The 12,570-nt window shown below is 53.0% G+C and overlaps 1 protein-coding gene across 15 annotated transcripts in view, besides 9 other annotated features; it reads right to left on the bottom strand.

The window, feature by feature from the left end:
* UBA1 (ubiquitin like modifier activating enzyme 1) overlaps positions 1–12,570 on the bottom strand; it is a 24,282-nt gene extending 11,712 nt beyond the window's left edge. Inside the window, exons 1-15 of one of the 15 annotated variants that reach the window (XM_047442421.1) lie at positions 9,393–9,588; positions 6,393–6,470; positions 5,062–5,108; positions 4,498–4,614; positions 4,311–4,369; positions 4,040–4,208; positions 3,803–3,937; positions 2,417–2,523; positions 2,051–2,141; positions 1,807–1,939; positions 1,164–1,261; positions 913–1,059; positions 603–779; positions 370–474; positions 203–283 (exon numbers count right to left, since the gene is read on the bottom strand). In XM_047442421.1, coding sequence (XP_047298377.1) covers positions 203–283; positions 370–474; positions 603–779; positions 913–1,059; positions 1,164–1,261; positions 1,807–1,939; positions 2,051–2,141; positions 2,417–2,523; positions 3,803–3,937; positions 4,040–4,208; positions 4,311–4,369; positions 4,498–4,614; positions 5,062–5,108; positions 6,393–6,426 — 1,500 coding nt within the window. In that variant the 5' untranslated portion in view covers positions 6,427–6,470; positions 9,393–9,588. Of the gene's footprint in view, positions 1–202; positions 284–369; positions 475–602; positions 780–912; positions 1,060–1,163; positions 1,262–1,806; positions 1,940–2,050; positions 2,142–2,416; positions 2,524–3,802; positions 3,938–4,039; positions 4,209–4,310; positions 4,370–4,497; positions 4,615–4,960; positions 5,027–5,061; positions 9,589–11,681; positions 11,729–12,466 lie in introns of those variants that run through there. The other 14 variants (XM_047442422.1, NM_001440811.1, NM_001440812.1 and 11 more) reach the window with 14 other exon arrangements.
* Positions 4,024–5,223: an enhancer, noted in NCBI's record as "CDK7 strongly-dependent group 2 enhancer chrX:47057593-47058792 (GRCh37/hg19 assembly coordinates)". NCBI's record gives its function as "activates an origin of replication core promoter dependent on BRD2, BRD4, P300/CBP, MED14 and CDK7 cofactors, with strong dependence on CDK7, by STARR-seq in HCT116 cells {active_cell/tissue: HCT116}" and the evidence as "EXISTENCE:reporter gene assay evidence [ECO:0000049][PMID:35650434]".
* Positions 9,316–9,465: a silencer, noted in NCBI's record as "silent region_20798". NCBI's record gives its function as "represses an Ori minimal core promoter by ATAC-STARR-seq in GM12878 lymphoblastoid cells {active_cell/tissue: GM12878}" and the evidence as "EXISTENCE:reporter gene assay evidence [ECO:0000049][PMID:35858748]".
* Positions 9,506–9,685: an enhancer, noted in NCBI's record as "active region_29585". NCBI's record gives its function as "activates an Ori minimal core promoter by ATAC-STARR-seq in GM12878 lymphoblastoid cells {active_cell/tissue: GM12878}" and the evidence as "EXISTENCE:reporter gene assay evidence [ECO:0000049][PMID:35858748]".
* Positions 9,506–9,748: a biological region, named in NCBI's record as "ReSE screen-validated silencer GRCh37_chrX:47053068-47053256".
* Positions 9,560–9,748: a silencer, noted in NCBI's record as "fragment chrX:47053068-47053256 (GRCh37/hg19 assembly coordinates)". NCBI's record gives its function as "represses an EF-1alpha promoter that drives an FKBP-Casp9 reporter gene in an ReSE screen in K562 erythroleukemia cells {active_cell/tissue: K562}" and the evidence as "EXISTENCE:reporter gene assay evidence [ECO:0000049][PMID:32094911]".
* Positions 11,883–12,423: an enhancer, noted in NCBI's record as "H3K27ac-H3K4me1 hESC enhancer chrX:47050393-47050933 (GRCh37/hg19 assembly coordinates)". NCBI's record gives its function as "activates a minimal SCP1, AML or CMV promoter by ChIP-STARR-seq in naive and primed H9 embryonic stem cells {active_cell/tissue: H9 hESC(naive and primed)}" and the evidence as "EXISTENCE:reporter gene assay evidence [ECO:0000049][PMID:30033119]".
* Positions 11,883–12,453: a biological region, named in NCBI's record as "H3K27ac-H3K4me1 hESC enhancer GRCh37_chrX:47050393-47050933".
* Positions 12,404–12,453: an enhancer, noted in NCBI's record as "active region_29584". NCBI's record gives its function as "activates an Ori minimal core promoter by ATAC-STARR-seq in GM12878 lymphoblastoid cells {active_cell/tissue: GM12878}" and the evidence as "EXISTENCE:reporter gene assay evidence [ECO:0000049][PMID:35858748]".
* Positions 12,484–12,533: an enhancer, noted in NCBI's record as "active region_29583". NCBI's record gives its function as "activates an Ori minimal core promoter by ATAC-STARR-seq in GM12878 lymphoblastoid cells {active_cell/tissue: GM12878}" and the evidence as "EXISTENCE:reporter gene assay evidence [ECO:0000049][PMID:35858748]".

Genomic DNA, 12,570 nt, shown 5'->3' with positions numbered 1-12,570 from the left:
CAGGACTCTAAGAAATGACACGCAGTCATGTGAGGAAGGAGGCACCAGAAGGGGAAACGAGGGATGCACTGGGCTTCCCTTCAAGATAAGGAGAATGGCAAAGAGAATGCGCCACCGGTTGCATTGAGATGCCGAAGGAAGCCCCAGGGGTGATGGCCAGAGGCCAAGATGAGGGGAGCAGACATCCAAGGGGACCACTTACCAGGAAATACTTCTGCTTGCCCAGCTTCTCTTGCAGGTCTGAGCCAAACACAGCCACTTGCCCGTCATAACGGTTCTGGCGCTAAGGAATGCAAAGGGAGGAGGGTTAGAGAGGCCTCCCCAGAAATGTCCCCAATGATGCCCTCCCCACAGGTCCCACCCACATACCTGGAGGCACTTGTCCTCTGTGAGGACCTCTTTGTCCTCAGGGAGACACTCAAGGGCATCAAAGTATAGCCACTGCATGATGGGCATGAACTTCCCGGAGCAGGCCTGGAGAGGGGAAGGGAGAGAGGGGGTGGTCAGTGGTTAACAGGGGCCTGACACAGACAGAGAGCAAGTGACAGAGTCATGGAGGAACCTGGCCCACCCCAATCCTGCCTCTCCCCACCCGTGCTGACCTTCATGACTTCCTGGGCAGCCAGGCCCCCAATGAAGGCGTTTATGGGTGCCAGATCCCCAGCAGCCACATATGCCAGCTTCCGGATGAGGTCCTCGTCCAGGTTATTTTGCTGCACTGCTGGCAGGGCTCGAGCATTCACAGCCTGTGCTAAGGCTACCAGTTCTGCTGCATCCTCCTGGTGGGCCAGAAAGAACCAAGAGAGGATATGTCAGGCCACAGTGAGGGCAGGGAGTGTGGACACGCAGAGAGGCATGGTGAGCCTGCAGTGCCAGGCATGTCTGCGCTGGCTGGCTCGCCCACTCACCCACCTCATTGCGGGGCCGAGGTGGCCGGCCATGCTGAGCACAGAACTGGTGCAGGGCCTGGAAGCCAATGTGCAGCTGGGCAGGGCGAGAAAACTTGGCGAAGTCCGTCACCACAAAGTCAGGTTCTGCCAGTGAGGCCACCAAGGATTTCTGTGGCGGGGGGAGAGGTCATCAGAACCAGAAGAGAGGAATGGAGAACTAGGGAATGCCTAGAACCACCCCCCACAGCCCACTGATCCCATCGACACACTCACAAAGCTAATCTTCTTAGGTACTTTGACCTGACTGACGATGCCTCCACGGATGTAGTCGGAGAAGTTGGAGGTGTCACAGATGCTAAAGGTATAAGGACCTACAGAGGGCAGGAAGAGAGCTGTCAGTCTACCCATTCTCCCTAAAATCCACAACCCCTGCAAGATAAGGAACCTCCTGCCCCGACTCAGCTCAGACATCAGAAGCTGTCTTCCCTCAGCTCCAGGCTCCACTTGGACATCAGAAACCATCTCTCCTGTGCCCCAGACTCAGCTCAGACCCCGTGAGACCCTGTGTCCCTGGCTCCAAGTCTACACGGGAAGACCTTCTCTGCTTCCCATCCAAATCAGCTCACACACAAGTAGATCCGCTGATCTGCCCTGTTCAAACACCAGAGACTTTTTCCCCACTCAGCTCAGATACCAGGGACACATTCTCCCAGGAATAGCTCAAACACAGTACCTCTCCCCCATGCCCACCAGCTCTTATTGGACCCCACAGGATTGTCTGTAGTTCATCTCAAACACCAGGATGTGTCTTCCCAACTCTGAACCAAGGGCCATGTCTTCTCCCTTCAACTCCCCGGCCAGAACCCAGGAACATATCTTCTAGTTCCCCTCTGCTTCCCCCATGGTCGCAGCTCACCCAGGACTTTGATCTCCATGGGCTGATTTCCGTTGAGTTCAACCATGCCCTGTACTTCTGAAAAGGAGACAAAGTCCCCGCTCTCAAACCCGTGTCGGGCCTCATCCAGGCAGGTAACCACACCGGGGTTGTCCTGGTTAAAGGAAGAGTGAGTCTCAGAAACAGGCCCAGGGTACCAAGAGCAGACAGGAAGGACTACTGCAGCCCACCTGCCTGCCAGGAACCCTAGGGCTGGTCTCCTTACCTTGGTAACCATAGAAACCATAGCACTGAGTGGCTGCTCCCCATTGGAATCTGTGAGGATCATTTCCTCTCCAAAGTCACAGAAGAGCTGCCTGTAGAGGGAAGCAATAGGGCTGGTGCCTGTGTCCCATGCACATACAGGTCCCACGGGTCCCTCAAGATGTAGTGAAAACTTGCTGAGCAAACTCAGCCTATCACTGCTGGGATGTAAGATGGTACTTGTGCCACATGGGGAGAGATGAAAACACAGAACCCAAAACCTGGGTAGCTGAGAAGGGATGAGGGCAGGGAGAGCCTAGAGTCTTGGCCTGGGCTTGGTAGGAGTTGGGGGAAAAGGGGACAGGGAGGGAGGTGGGCTGCCACTCACCCAAACAGGCCCCGCGTGTCTGCCACCACCAGCTTGATGCCACGGTTGTGACAGAACTCACCCACTCGCAGCTGGTCCTCCAGGGGGGTGTTGGTGAGCACCACCACCTGTGGAGAGATGGAGGCTCAGGCCCAGCATTGGGGTGAAGGGGAAAAAATGGAGGGCTGGTGTGGAGGACTCAGGCAGTCCTCAAGGCAAACACATCCAGGCTTTGCTGGGTCAGCCTCTTTCACAAACACATAGCACCTACTGTGTATCAGACTCTGTGGGGGTCGAAAATGAACCCCTGGACTATACCAGGAAAGGTGAAGAGGTAGCTGGGAGGAGGGAGTTTGGAGAAGAGCTGACTCATTTATTTGACAAACACCCGCTGCTGTCTGTCTGCCATGCCCTGTGAGACACTGGAGTAAAACTCTGTCTCCAGCCAAAGTCTGAGCTCACTCCTACCACACCCACCTGCTTCCAATTCTCAAGACGACGCCTGCTCCGCCATGATCTTTGGGATTTTGCTCTCTGCCTGAATGTCCATCCTTCCCCACCAGGGTGAGCTCCTACTCCTCCATCAGGATTTAGCTGCAGTGCCCTGGCAACCTGGGATACTCCAGGGACAACTCTCAGCTTCCAGAGCACCTCTTTCCGGCCTGGACTTTTTAATTAACAAACACCCATCCAGTCCTTATATGCCAGCTGCAATTCCACGTGTTTAACCCTCACAAAAAGTCCATGAAGTCAGTGCTGCTACCACGCACTGACTACAAACAGGAAAACAAAGGTACAGGAGATGAAACAACCTGCTTGAAGTCACACTACCAAGGCTGGAGGCCTGCAGCAAGGCAGTATGGCTCTACAGTCTGTGCCCACAACCACTATGCTGTACTGTCTGTACACATCTTCCCCACTTGAAAAGGCGGGGCCAGGCCGGGTGCGGTGGCTCACACCTGTAATCCCAGCACTTTGGGAGGCGGAGGCGGGCGGATCACAAGGTCAGGAGATCGAGACCACCCTGGCTAACACAGTGAAACCCCGTCTCTACTAAAAATACAAAAAAAAATTAGCCGGGCGTGGTGGCAGGCGCCTGTAGTCCCAGCTACTCGGGAGGCTGAGGCAGGAGAATGGCGTGAACCCAGGAGGTGTAGCTTGCAGTGAGCCGAGATCGCGCCACTGCACTCTAGCTTGGGCGACAGAGCAAGACTCCGTCTCAAAAAAAAAAAAAGAAGAAAAGAAAAGGCAGGGCCAGGGGCTAACTGCTGCCTGCATACTCTAGTCCCCCAGCACAAAACCTGACATTCAGGCCGACCCATTAAATCAATATTGAACACTACTGAATAAACCAGAGATGGGCTCTGAGAAAACTGGGCAGAAGGCTGGGTAGTACCCCCAAGATACCTGGAAACCACTAAGGAAGTCCTCAACGAGGGGTCCAGTGTAGGCAGTGACAGGCACATAGCTGTTGAGCTCAGCGAGGCGGGGCTGTGATACCTCGGCCCGGTTTTTACCGATGTCCTCCTCCCGCAGGTAGAACTGTAAGGGTGTGCAGTAGGGAAAAAGATGAAATGGCTGTGGCACCGGGAACAGTGGTGCCTCGGGAAGGGGGAAAGGGGGAAGGGTGCTAGGAAGAGGTACCTGGGAGGAAAGATCAGCCCACTGGGCAGTGCCCTGGTCATGTAGGGTAACAGCCTTGACCCCACCAAGGATGATGTTCTTAGCGATCTCCACGCCCAGGCCCCGCAGGCCTGATACCAGGACACTGGATGTCTGGAGCCGCTTCATTGCCTCATGGCCCAACACATACCTGCCAGGTTAGGGGGTACTCTAGGTCAGGGCCTGCCCCACCCAACCTTATCCTCTCAATGTCCCATTCCACACCCCTCAGCCCGGCCTTGGCCCCACTTACAGCTGCCGGGAGTAAAGGCCCTCGTCTATGTCTGCTTCACTGCCGTTCTTGGCCATTCCCTAGGAATAGAGGAAAAGAACAAGTTTAGGGAGACACACAGGAGTGGAGCATGGATAGACAGACAGTGATACAAAAGACTTTCCCACCCACCACCTCGTCTGCCAGTCTCCACGGAGAGGACACTCACGTTGGTTGGCACCGAGGGCACTTCGGACAACACGGACTGGGCAGGGGAGCAGTTAGAACCCGGCTTTGGATCAGGCCCGGACACGCGACGTTTCTTGGACAGCGGCGAGCTGGACATCTGGAGGAAAAAAAGGTCAGAGGTGACCCTGGAGCACATGGGTACCGTTTTTCTGTTTGTTAGTAGCAACTGTGGGGGAAGGGAAGACTTAAGTATTAGTACCCCCATTTTACAGCAAAGAGGGGACAGGCACAGAAAGGTGAGGACTTGCCCAGGGTAACACAGCTGTCAGACCTAAGATCTGAACCCAGGTGGTCTGATTTGCAAATCCACACTGCTGACCACTAAGCCATTTGCTTCTTCCCAGCCCAGCATAATGAGGGAGAGACTCCAATCCTGGAGTGAAAGGAATGACAAGAATGTACTTGTGTCGAGGTCAGGGGAAGGATGTGGATTCAGGACAGACCTGGTTTCAAATCTTGAGCCTGCCACGCACTAACAGTAATAATTAACCGCCACAGGCCTCAGTTTTCTCACCTGTGAAACAGGGGTGATAATACCACTTACCTTCCCCACGGGGTTATCGAGATGATAAATAACACAGAGCATAGAACCTGGCACAGAGTAGGTAGGCAGTAACAAGCAGCCATTCTCCTCTCCCTTAATCCCAGGGATGGCGGCGGGAGCGGGGAGTGCAGGAGGGAAGTGAGGCTTGGACATCCATCAGGGTGGCATGATGGCAGGAGCGGTAACTTGCTGAGAACCCAGTCCCCAGAGGGGCTCAAGTTTTATAAAGCCCAACCCTGCCCCCAGCTTTGGGAGGGGAAAACCGACACAGACCAATAAAAGAGGTTGCAAAAAGATAGAAAACAAACACATCCCAAGCCTCATCTGCATGCGGAGTCCCTTAAACAGGTTAACCACAATGATAAATGAGTATTAGATTGATCAGGAGTCCTCCTTGTGCCAGATGCCATAGTAAGCACTTCTCTAAACCTCGTCTCACTCTGTCCTCAGGGTACTCCTGTGGGGTTTGGACTGCTATCAATAATACCCCCAACTTTAAAGTGATGGAAAAAAATTCACTCAGGGACGTTCGGTGACCAAGGTTCCCACACACTGAGCTGGGACCAGACCAGGATCTGCTGACTCTGAAGCCCAGGCTGCTTCCTCGTGTTATCACGTTTCATCCCCTCCATGACCCTGACCCAGCAAGGCAGAGTTTAGTGTCCTTGCCGGACAAATGAGAAGTAACTTGCCCAGGGTCACCTGCTAGGTCCCAGAGACAGAACAATAAAGCCTGCTGTGGAAGTGAAATCTGGTGGTGGGGGTGACTGGGTCCACATGCTGGAGATGGGAGGACCCAGCGTCACTTCCCCTCACCCCAAGTGCTCCTCTAGGCACTGAGTCTTCTGTTCACACAAGTCCTCCCACACTGAGACTTTTATGACACTAAGTATCCCAATGTACCTAAGATTCCATCTTGGCACTTGTCACTAGCACCAACCACAATGACAAGAGCTCCCTACTATCTACCAAGAGCATACTGTGTGTCAATCAAAGAGGAAAGGGCTTTGTCTAATCTTAACAATCCCCATGACCCAGATAACCCTATGCCCAAATCACAAATGGGAAAAGAAAGGCTTAGAGAACCCCATTCACTCGCCCAGAGGCATGCAGCTGGTGGGGGACTGTTTGCCAAATGCCCCTGGGCTCAGGGCCCAGTCCACAGGGCTAAGGAATGGGAGATGAGGGGAGGCAGCAGGCTGGCTGGAGCCCCTGAGATAGCCAGGTGAATTGCTTAGAATGCTAAGAGCCAACCTGGGTAGCAAGAGGCTTGGTGAGTTAGTAGAGACAAAGGTGAACCATATTTTCCATTTACTGACTCTCTGACTGACCTGGGGTAGAGATCTCATTTCCTCTGAGCCTCATTTTCTCCAAAAGCTGGGACAAATGAAACTGTCTTCAAGGGGCTGCTGGCAGGGTTAAAGAAGCCAAGGTCTGTGGTCAGAACTCACTGACCTGAGGATGTGAGTTCCTCCCTGGGCACGTGTAGTGGCCTCTATTACTTAGTTATCTCCTTGCCTTGTCATTGGTCAGTTTGTTTGGGACATGCCATTTCCTCACTCCATAAATTAGAGATGATCCAGGGCCAGAGAGCACTTTAATATCTGGACATTTCACCTCTGGATCCCCAGTGCAGGCAGCAAGAGTCTAAGAAGTTTCAGATGATTGTTCAAGTGGATTTTGACTGCAAAGGTTTGGAACAGCCCTGTCTCAAGGCAAGCAGGAGTCTGGGACAGAAACTCTGCAGAGGAGCTAAAGATCCCCCACCCCCAGCAGAAAAACAATCTACACCCTTCCTACCTCAACATTTGCTCAGGCCCCCACCATAACATACACACTGTGAACTGTTTGGCAAAGCTGAGCTGTGGCTTAGTTTCTAAACATACCTGAGTCTCCAAACTGAAGATTTTCAAGCGTAAGCATTCTCTATTCCCAAACCAGAGGGTTTGAGGGAGGAGTCTTGGAGGTGTGAGAGGAGGCAGGTTAGCAGGATGGAGAAGCTAGGGCATAGAGAAGGGGGGCTGGAGCATGTCAAGCTTTCTGGGAGGGGTTAACTGAGAAGTCCATGGGAACGTGAGAGGAGAATCAGGAAGTGGGTGTCTAAGAGCAAGGAGGCTCTGAGACAAATGGGAAAGGAGATGTTAGAAGTCCTGGGAGGGAAAGGACTAGGCTAGGGTATTAGGAAAAGACTCAAATTCGGATCTCTGGAAAAGGATCTTTTGGAGAAAGGCTGAAAAATTGCAGTGGAGGCCCCCAAGGCTGCAAGGAGGTAGGAGGACAGTTGCTGGGCCCCATGGAAGCTGCAAAGGGAATGGGTGGGGGATTCTAGAGTCTGAGGAGGCAGCAGGAAGATGTTGGGGTCTGGGGGGAGAGGCAGCCTCCATCAGGAGGATGTTGAGGCTCTGGAGGACTCTGGAGACAGATGCTGGTAGCAGAGAGAAATCTTTAACCAAAAATAATAGATAGGGACATGCAAGAGGAGAGGTGTATCTGACATTCCTACTACAGAGTCCCAGGAGGCTGTGAGGGTGGATGGTGAGGGGCTGGGAGAGGTTTCTAATGGAACACAAAGGCCCTGTGTCAATCTCTGACAGGACATGCTAGGTATCACAGCTGCTCTGAGGGTGTGGAAACGGGAAGCTGGGCCCAGATAGTGCAGGCCTTAAAAAGGTTAATAAGCAAACACTGGCTAGGTCCCCAAATGGGGTTGGGTTTCTCTGACCAATTATGTAGGACCCCATGGAGGCGCTGAAGGTAGATGCTGAGAAGAGGGTTTTCTACTGCAGTAGAAAACAAGAGGGCCATGGCCAGGCGCGGTGGCTCACGCCTGCAATCCCAGCACTTTGGGAGGCCGAGGCAGGTGGATCACCTGAGGTCAGGAGTTCGAGACCAGCCTGGGCAATATGGTGAAACCCCATCTCTACTAAAAATACAAAAAATTAGCCAGGCGTGGTGGTGCATGCCTGTAATCCCAGCTACTCGGGAGGCTGAGGCAGGAGAATCGCTTGAACCCAGGAGGTGGAGGTTGCAGTGAGCTGAGATGGCGCCACTGCACTCCAGCCTGGACGACATAGTGAAACAATTCTGTCTCGGAAAAAAGAAAAAGAAAAAGAAAACAAGAAGGCCTGTGGGGGGAAGGGACATCTGACAATGATCCTGGGGTCCAAGGAGGCTGAAAGCAGAAGCTGAAAACCCCTGACTGCAGACGTTAGGGACCTTGAAACGATCTGAGGGCAGATTCTGAGGCCTGATGTGAGGATAAGGGATCTGTGAAAAAAGCAGCTAGAACCCAGGTTGGTTTTTGAAGGCAGAGGCTGGGTCTAGGGTGGGGTTGGGGAGGCGAGTCTCTGATGGAAGGGGCTAGAAGCCAACGGGATCTGCAAGAGCAGATGCTCGCAGGGGCTCTTTGATGGAGGATTATGTATCCAAACAGTTCCTCCCTGGTATCTGGTGCACTGGAAGGCTCTGGGGGTTCAAGGTGCCTGATGGGGAAGATGCTGAGGCCTCTCAGTAGTCTCTGAATACTGGAAGTATAAAAAGCGAGAAATTCCATAAAAGTAGAGAAAGTGTCAAAGGACAGAGTCTAGGAATTGAAGAGTCTCTCAAGGCAGATGGTAAGAGGGGTCTCTGAGTAGAAATACTGGGCAGAGTCTCTGATGGAAGATGCTAGGGCCAGGGTGGGGTTAGGAGACCTGACGTGTGGCGAAGAGGGGCCCCCGACACAAAGGCCAGGCCCAAATGGCCTTTCACAGGGTCTAGTACCCCTGGAAGCTCTGAGCGCGGCTAGCATGTGTGTGGGATGGGGGTCTGAAGGAAAATGCTAAAGAGGACTCTCTTACAGAGATAAAGGGCCTATGGACCCCTTCGAGATCTAGCCCGTCCTGGAAGCCTTGAGGACAAATACTGAGAAGCTAGGAAGTGTCTCAAAGGAGATTCTGGGGCAGGTCTTTAACGGCATTCAATGGTGAGGAGCTCTGATCAGCAATGCTGATCCACGTAAATCTCTATTGGAGACTGGGGAAGAGTTCTGATCTGAGATACAAGGTTCGGGACGGAGTCAGGTCCCAGACTAGAGATGTTGGGCGTGAGTCTCTAAAAGCACATCCTGGGGGTCCGACTCCAAGGTCAGATTTTGCAACCAGAGGGAGCCGGAGTGGTCCTGGCCGGGGAAAGTCGGCCCCGCCCCAGGATCCGCTCCCCCTCCCTACTCCGCTGATTCCTGGCTCCCGAGTCACCGCGGCCCGCCCCGACAGCAGCGTGGCTCAGGGCCCTCCAGTGCCTCCCCGAAACCCCTGCCCAGGGCGAGGCGCAGTGAAAGGACGTTTTTTTACCAATGCCGGTTCCCCGGGTCGCGCCGCCGCCAACTCCTCAAGGAGCCGAAGCCAAGCCCGGCCGCCACCCTCCTCCTTCTCCTCCTCCCCGCCGCCTGGGCCGCCTAGAATCGCCGCTGCCGCCTTCTCCTCCCCCGGCCGTTGTGGTTGTGGTTGTCCCTGCCACCTCCTTACAGCCGAGCCGCCGACACAAGATGGCGGACGCTGAGCCTGGGGCCGGAACAAAACCTTGGGCCCCACCCCCAGAAACCCGGATGCAAGCGGGCCGCGCCTACTTATGAATCATGCATAAAGTTCCCTACTCGGTTGCGATTCATTCGGTTAGAAGTGGAACAGCACCACCTGGTGGACATTGTGGCAGTAACAACGAAAACAGGTAAAACAGAGGCCACGCCTCATGGAATGCGACTAATGAATGAATTGTTGCAGCCAGGCTGTCAAGGAAGCGAAGAAAAACCGTTAAGGCCATGCTTCCTGATTATAAGTTATGCATGAAGTTGAGTGGTTGGTAGACTAACAACCAGCAACCAGAAAGCAGATGTTAAAACATGGAAGCCACACACCCCCATTCATGAATAATGATGATCTTGCAGGGGCCCGGAAGCCAAGGAGACCCAGGCCACAACTTACTCATGAATAATGCATGAGGCCCAGTGGGTTGGAATAAAAGGGGCACGCCCGCCTATTGCTGCATCTAATACACTGTAAGCAGGGAAATGGGGCTGCTGCAGGGAAAACACACTCTCCCAGGTCCTGAATAATGAATTATGCTGCTGCAGTAGCTCAACCTGGAAACTCAGAGAGGTCAAGAAAGGTTCCACCCAATTTATGAATTATGCATAAGGCGAAGAAACACCCAAGACTGCCCTGCCCAGCAAATAGGGATTACGATGCTATAGCCAAGGCAAAGTGAGCACGCCTTCCTGTTCATGAATAATGAAAGATGTCACTGCAGTGCCACCAGAAAACCCAGGGGACGTGTACTCCCTGCCCCCACCTCCCCTCTCCACGCCTCCCTCCATTCTCCCCGCCTCAGGAACAAGGGCTGCCTTGGTCCAATCAAACCCAAACTCACTACATGTCTTTGGCAGGTGCCTCAGTTTCCACAACTGTAAAATGAGGATAGTAATGTGTTATTATGAAAATCAGATGACGCCTGTAATCCCAGCACTTTAGGAGGCCGAGGCGGGTGGATCACCTGAGGTCAGGAATTGGAGACCAGCCTGGCCAAGATGGTGAAACCCTGTCTCTACTAAAAATACAAAAATTAGCTGGGCATGTTGGCGGGCGCCTGTAATCCCAGCTACTGGGGAGGCTGAGGCAGGAGAATCGCTTGAACTCGGGAAGCAGAGGTTGCAGTCAGCCGAGATCGCGCCATTGCACTCCAGCTTGGGCGACAAGAGAGAAACTCCGTCTCAAACAAAAGAAAATCAGAGAATATAAATTATGGGATGAGCCTTAGAACATTGCTGGCACAAGGCACTGTTAAATTTTTAAAATATTATATATTAATATAAAAGTAATATGTTAAGATATGTAAATATATATTTACATTAATATAAAATTAGTTATGAATACTCAGCCACTAGAGAAACCCCCAACTTGGGCCACTGCTTCCCCATCCATAAAATAGGAATAACAGCAACTTACCTTGCGATGGAGTTTAAATGAAGAAATAAGTAGAAAGGGCTTAGACCAGTGCCTGGCACATGCTAAGTGTTATATTAGTAGTAGTAGTACTATCAAATGGCGGCGCAGGGGAATGGGGAGGGGAGACATTATGGCATCTGGTTAAGACTACAGATTGCGGAACTAGACCCCAATTTGAATCCCGGCCCAGCCACTCACTGATTGTGTGACCTTAGGCAAATTACTTAGCCTTCCTGTGTCCCAGTTTCCTTATCTATAAAGTGGGGGTAATAATGACCTACCTCCTAGGATTGTCGTGAAGATTAAATGCGCTAAGTAGCTAAACGAGTGTAAGCTAATCTTATCGTTATCCTCATACCCATTATTCAGGCTTACAAAACGATTTGCCAAAGATCACACAACTGGAAAGGATCGATGGGATTTGAATCCAGAGCCGGCTGATTATCTGGGATTACCAGGCCATAAGAAATGAACAATGTAGGAGGCCTCATCCCTTTGCTAGACGCCAGGTTTTAACTCTGGTACCTGCAAGGGAAAGCTAACCGCGGATCACGCAGACAAAGCTGCAAAAGCCACGCTCCTCATGAATTAAGCACGGAACCCCTAGAAAAGCCACTGAAAACTCAGGGTGCTACTTAACTTTTGCGAATCATCAATGAACTCGTTTGCGCGGCAGACTTCAGAACGCCCCTTCAGCACGTCCCTTCGGCACGCTGATCCGCCCCTCGTGAATAATTCACAAGCCGAGAACCTTCAGCGGACCAGGTGCGAAAGAGGCAAAAAAACTGCCGCCTACCACAGCCCCACCTTATTATGAATAATGAATAAAGGCCGGGTGGCGCCTCGTCAGCTCAGGAAGAGCTGGGCTCCGGTGTCCCTTCCCTAGCCTGAGCTGGGAGGCTCCTCTCCCTAGAAACATCTGGGCCCCCGACGTGTCCAGTCTCGCAGTCCTGAGCCTCCAGGCGCGGGGAGGACCTCATCACAAAACCAGAGGTCACAAAGGCCTGACACCTCCACAATGCCACGTCGGTCCCGATTGTTCTGTCACCAGGACCCCGTCCTGAAACAAGCCCTCCCCCAGTCCCGCCTTGACTTTAGTAACCTCAAGCTTTGCTTCTCCCCTTGAAGAATAACCCAAATCCTGCTCCACGGACAAGGGTGCCCATACACGGACCCTAAGAATCTCCCCAAAGCCCCCCAAACCCTGCCTCCGAGGGGTGCTCCCCGAAACAGACTCCCAAATCCCACCCCGAAGTCCCCAAACGGCACCCCTTAAGGGTCTCAAAAGCAGACGCCCCCTAAATATCACCCCGGGCCCGGAGGCTCCAAATACGCCCATGAGGGGTTTCCCCGAAGTTGGGATTAGGGAAGCACCCTCCTCCAAATGCTGTCCAGAGGCTTGGGGGCACGGTGCTCCAGCTCACCCCCTGTGCCGGGCGGAAGCCTCGCCTTCCTGCCAAAGATGAGCTGAAGCCACGGGGCAACGGAAGAGCAAACCACCTCTGTCGTACAAGAGAAGCCAGAGTTT

This window comes from Homo sapiens, chromosome X (genome assembly GCF_000001405.40).
Source record: "Homo sapiens chromosome X, GRCh38.p14 Primary Assembly".
In the NCBI taxonomy this organism is placed as follows: domain Eukaryota; kingdom Metazoa; phylum Chordata; class Mammalia; order Primates; family Hominidae; genus Homo; species Homo sapiens.
This window is presented reverse-complemented; position numbering and strand designations above follow the sequence as displayed.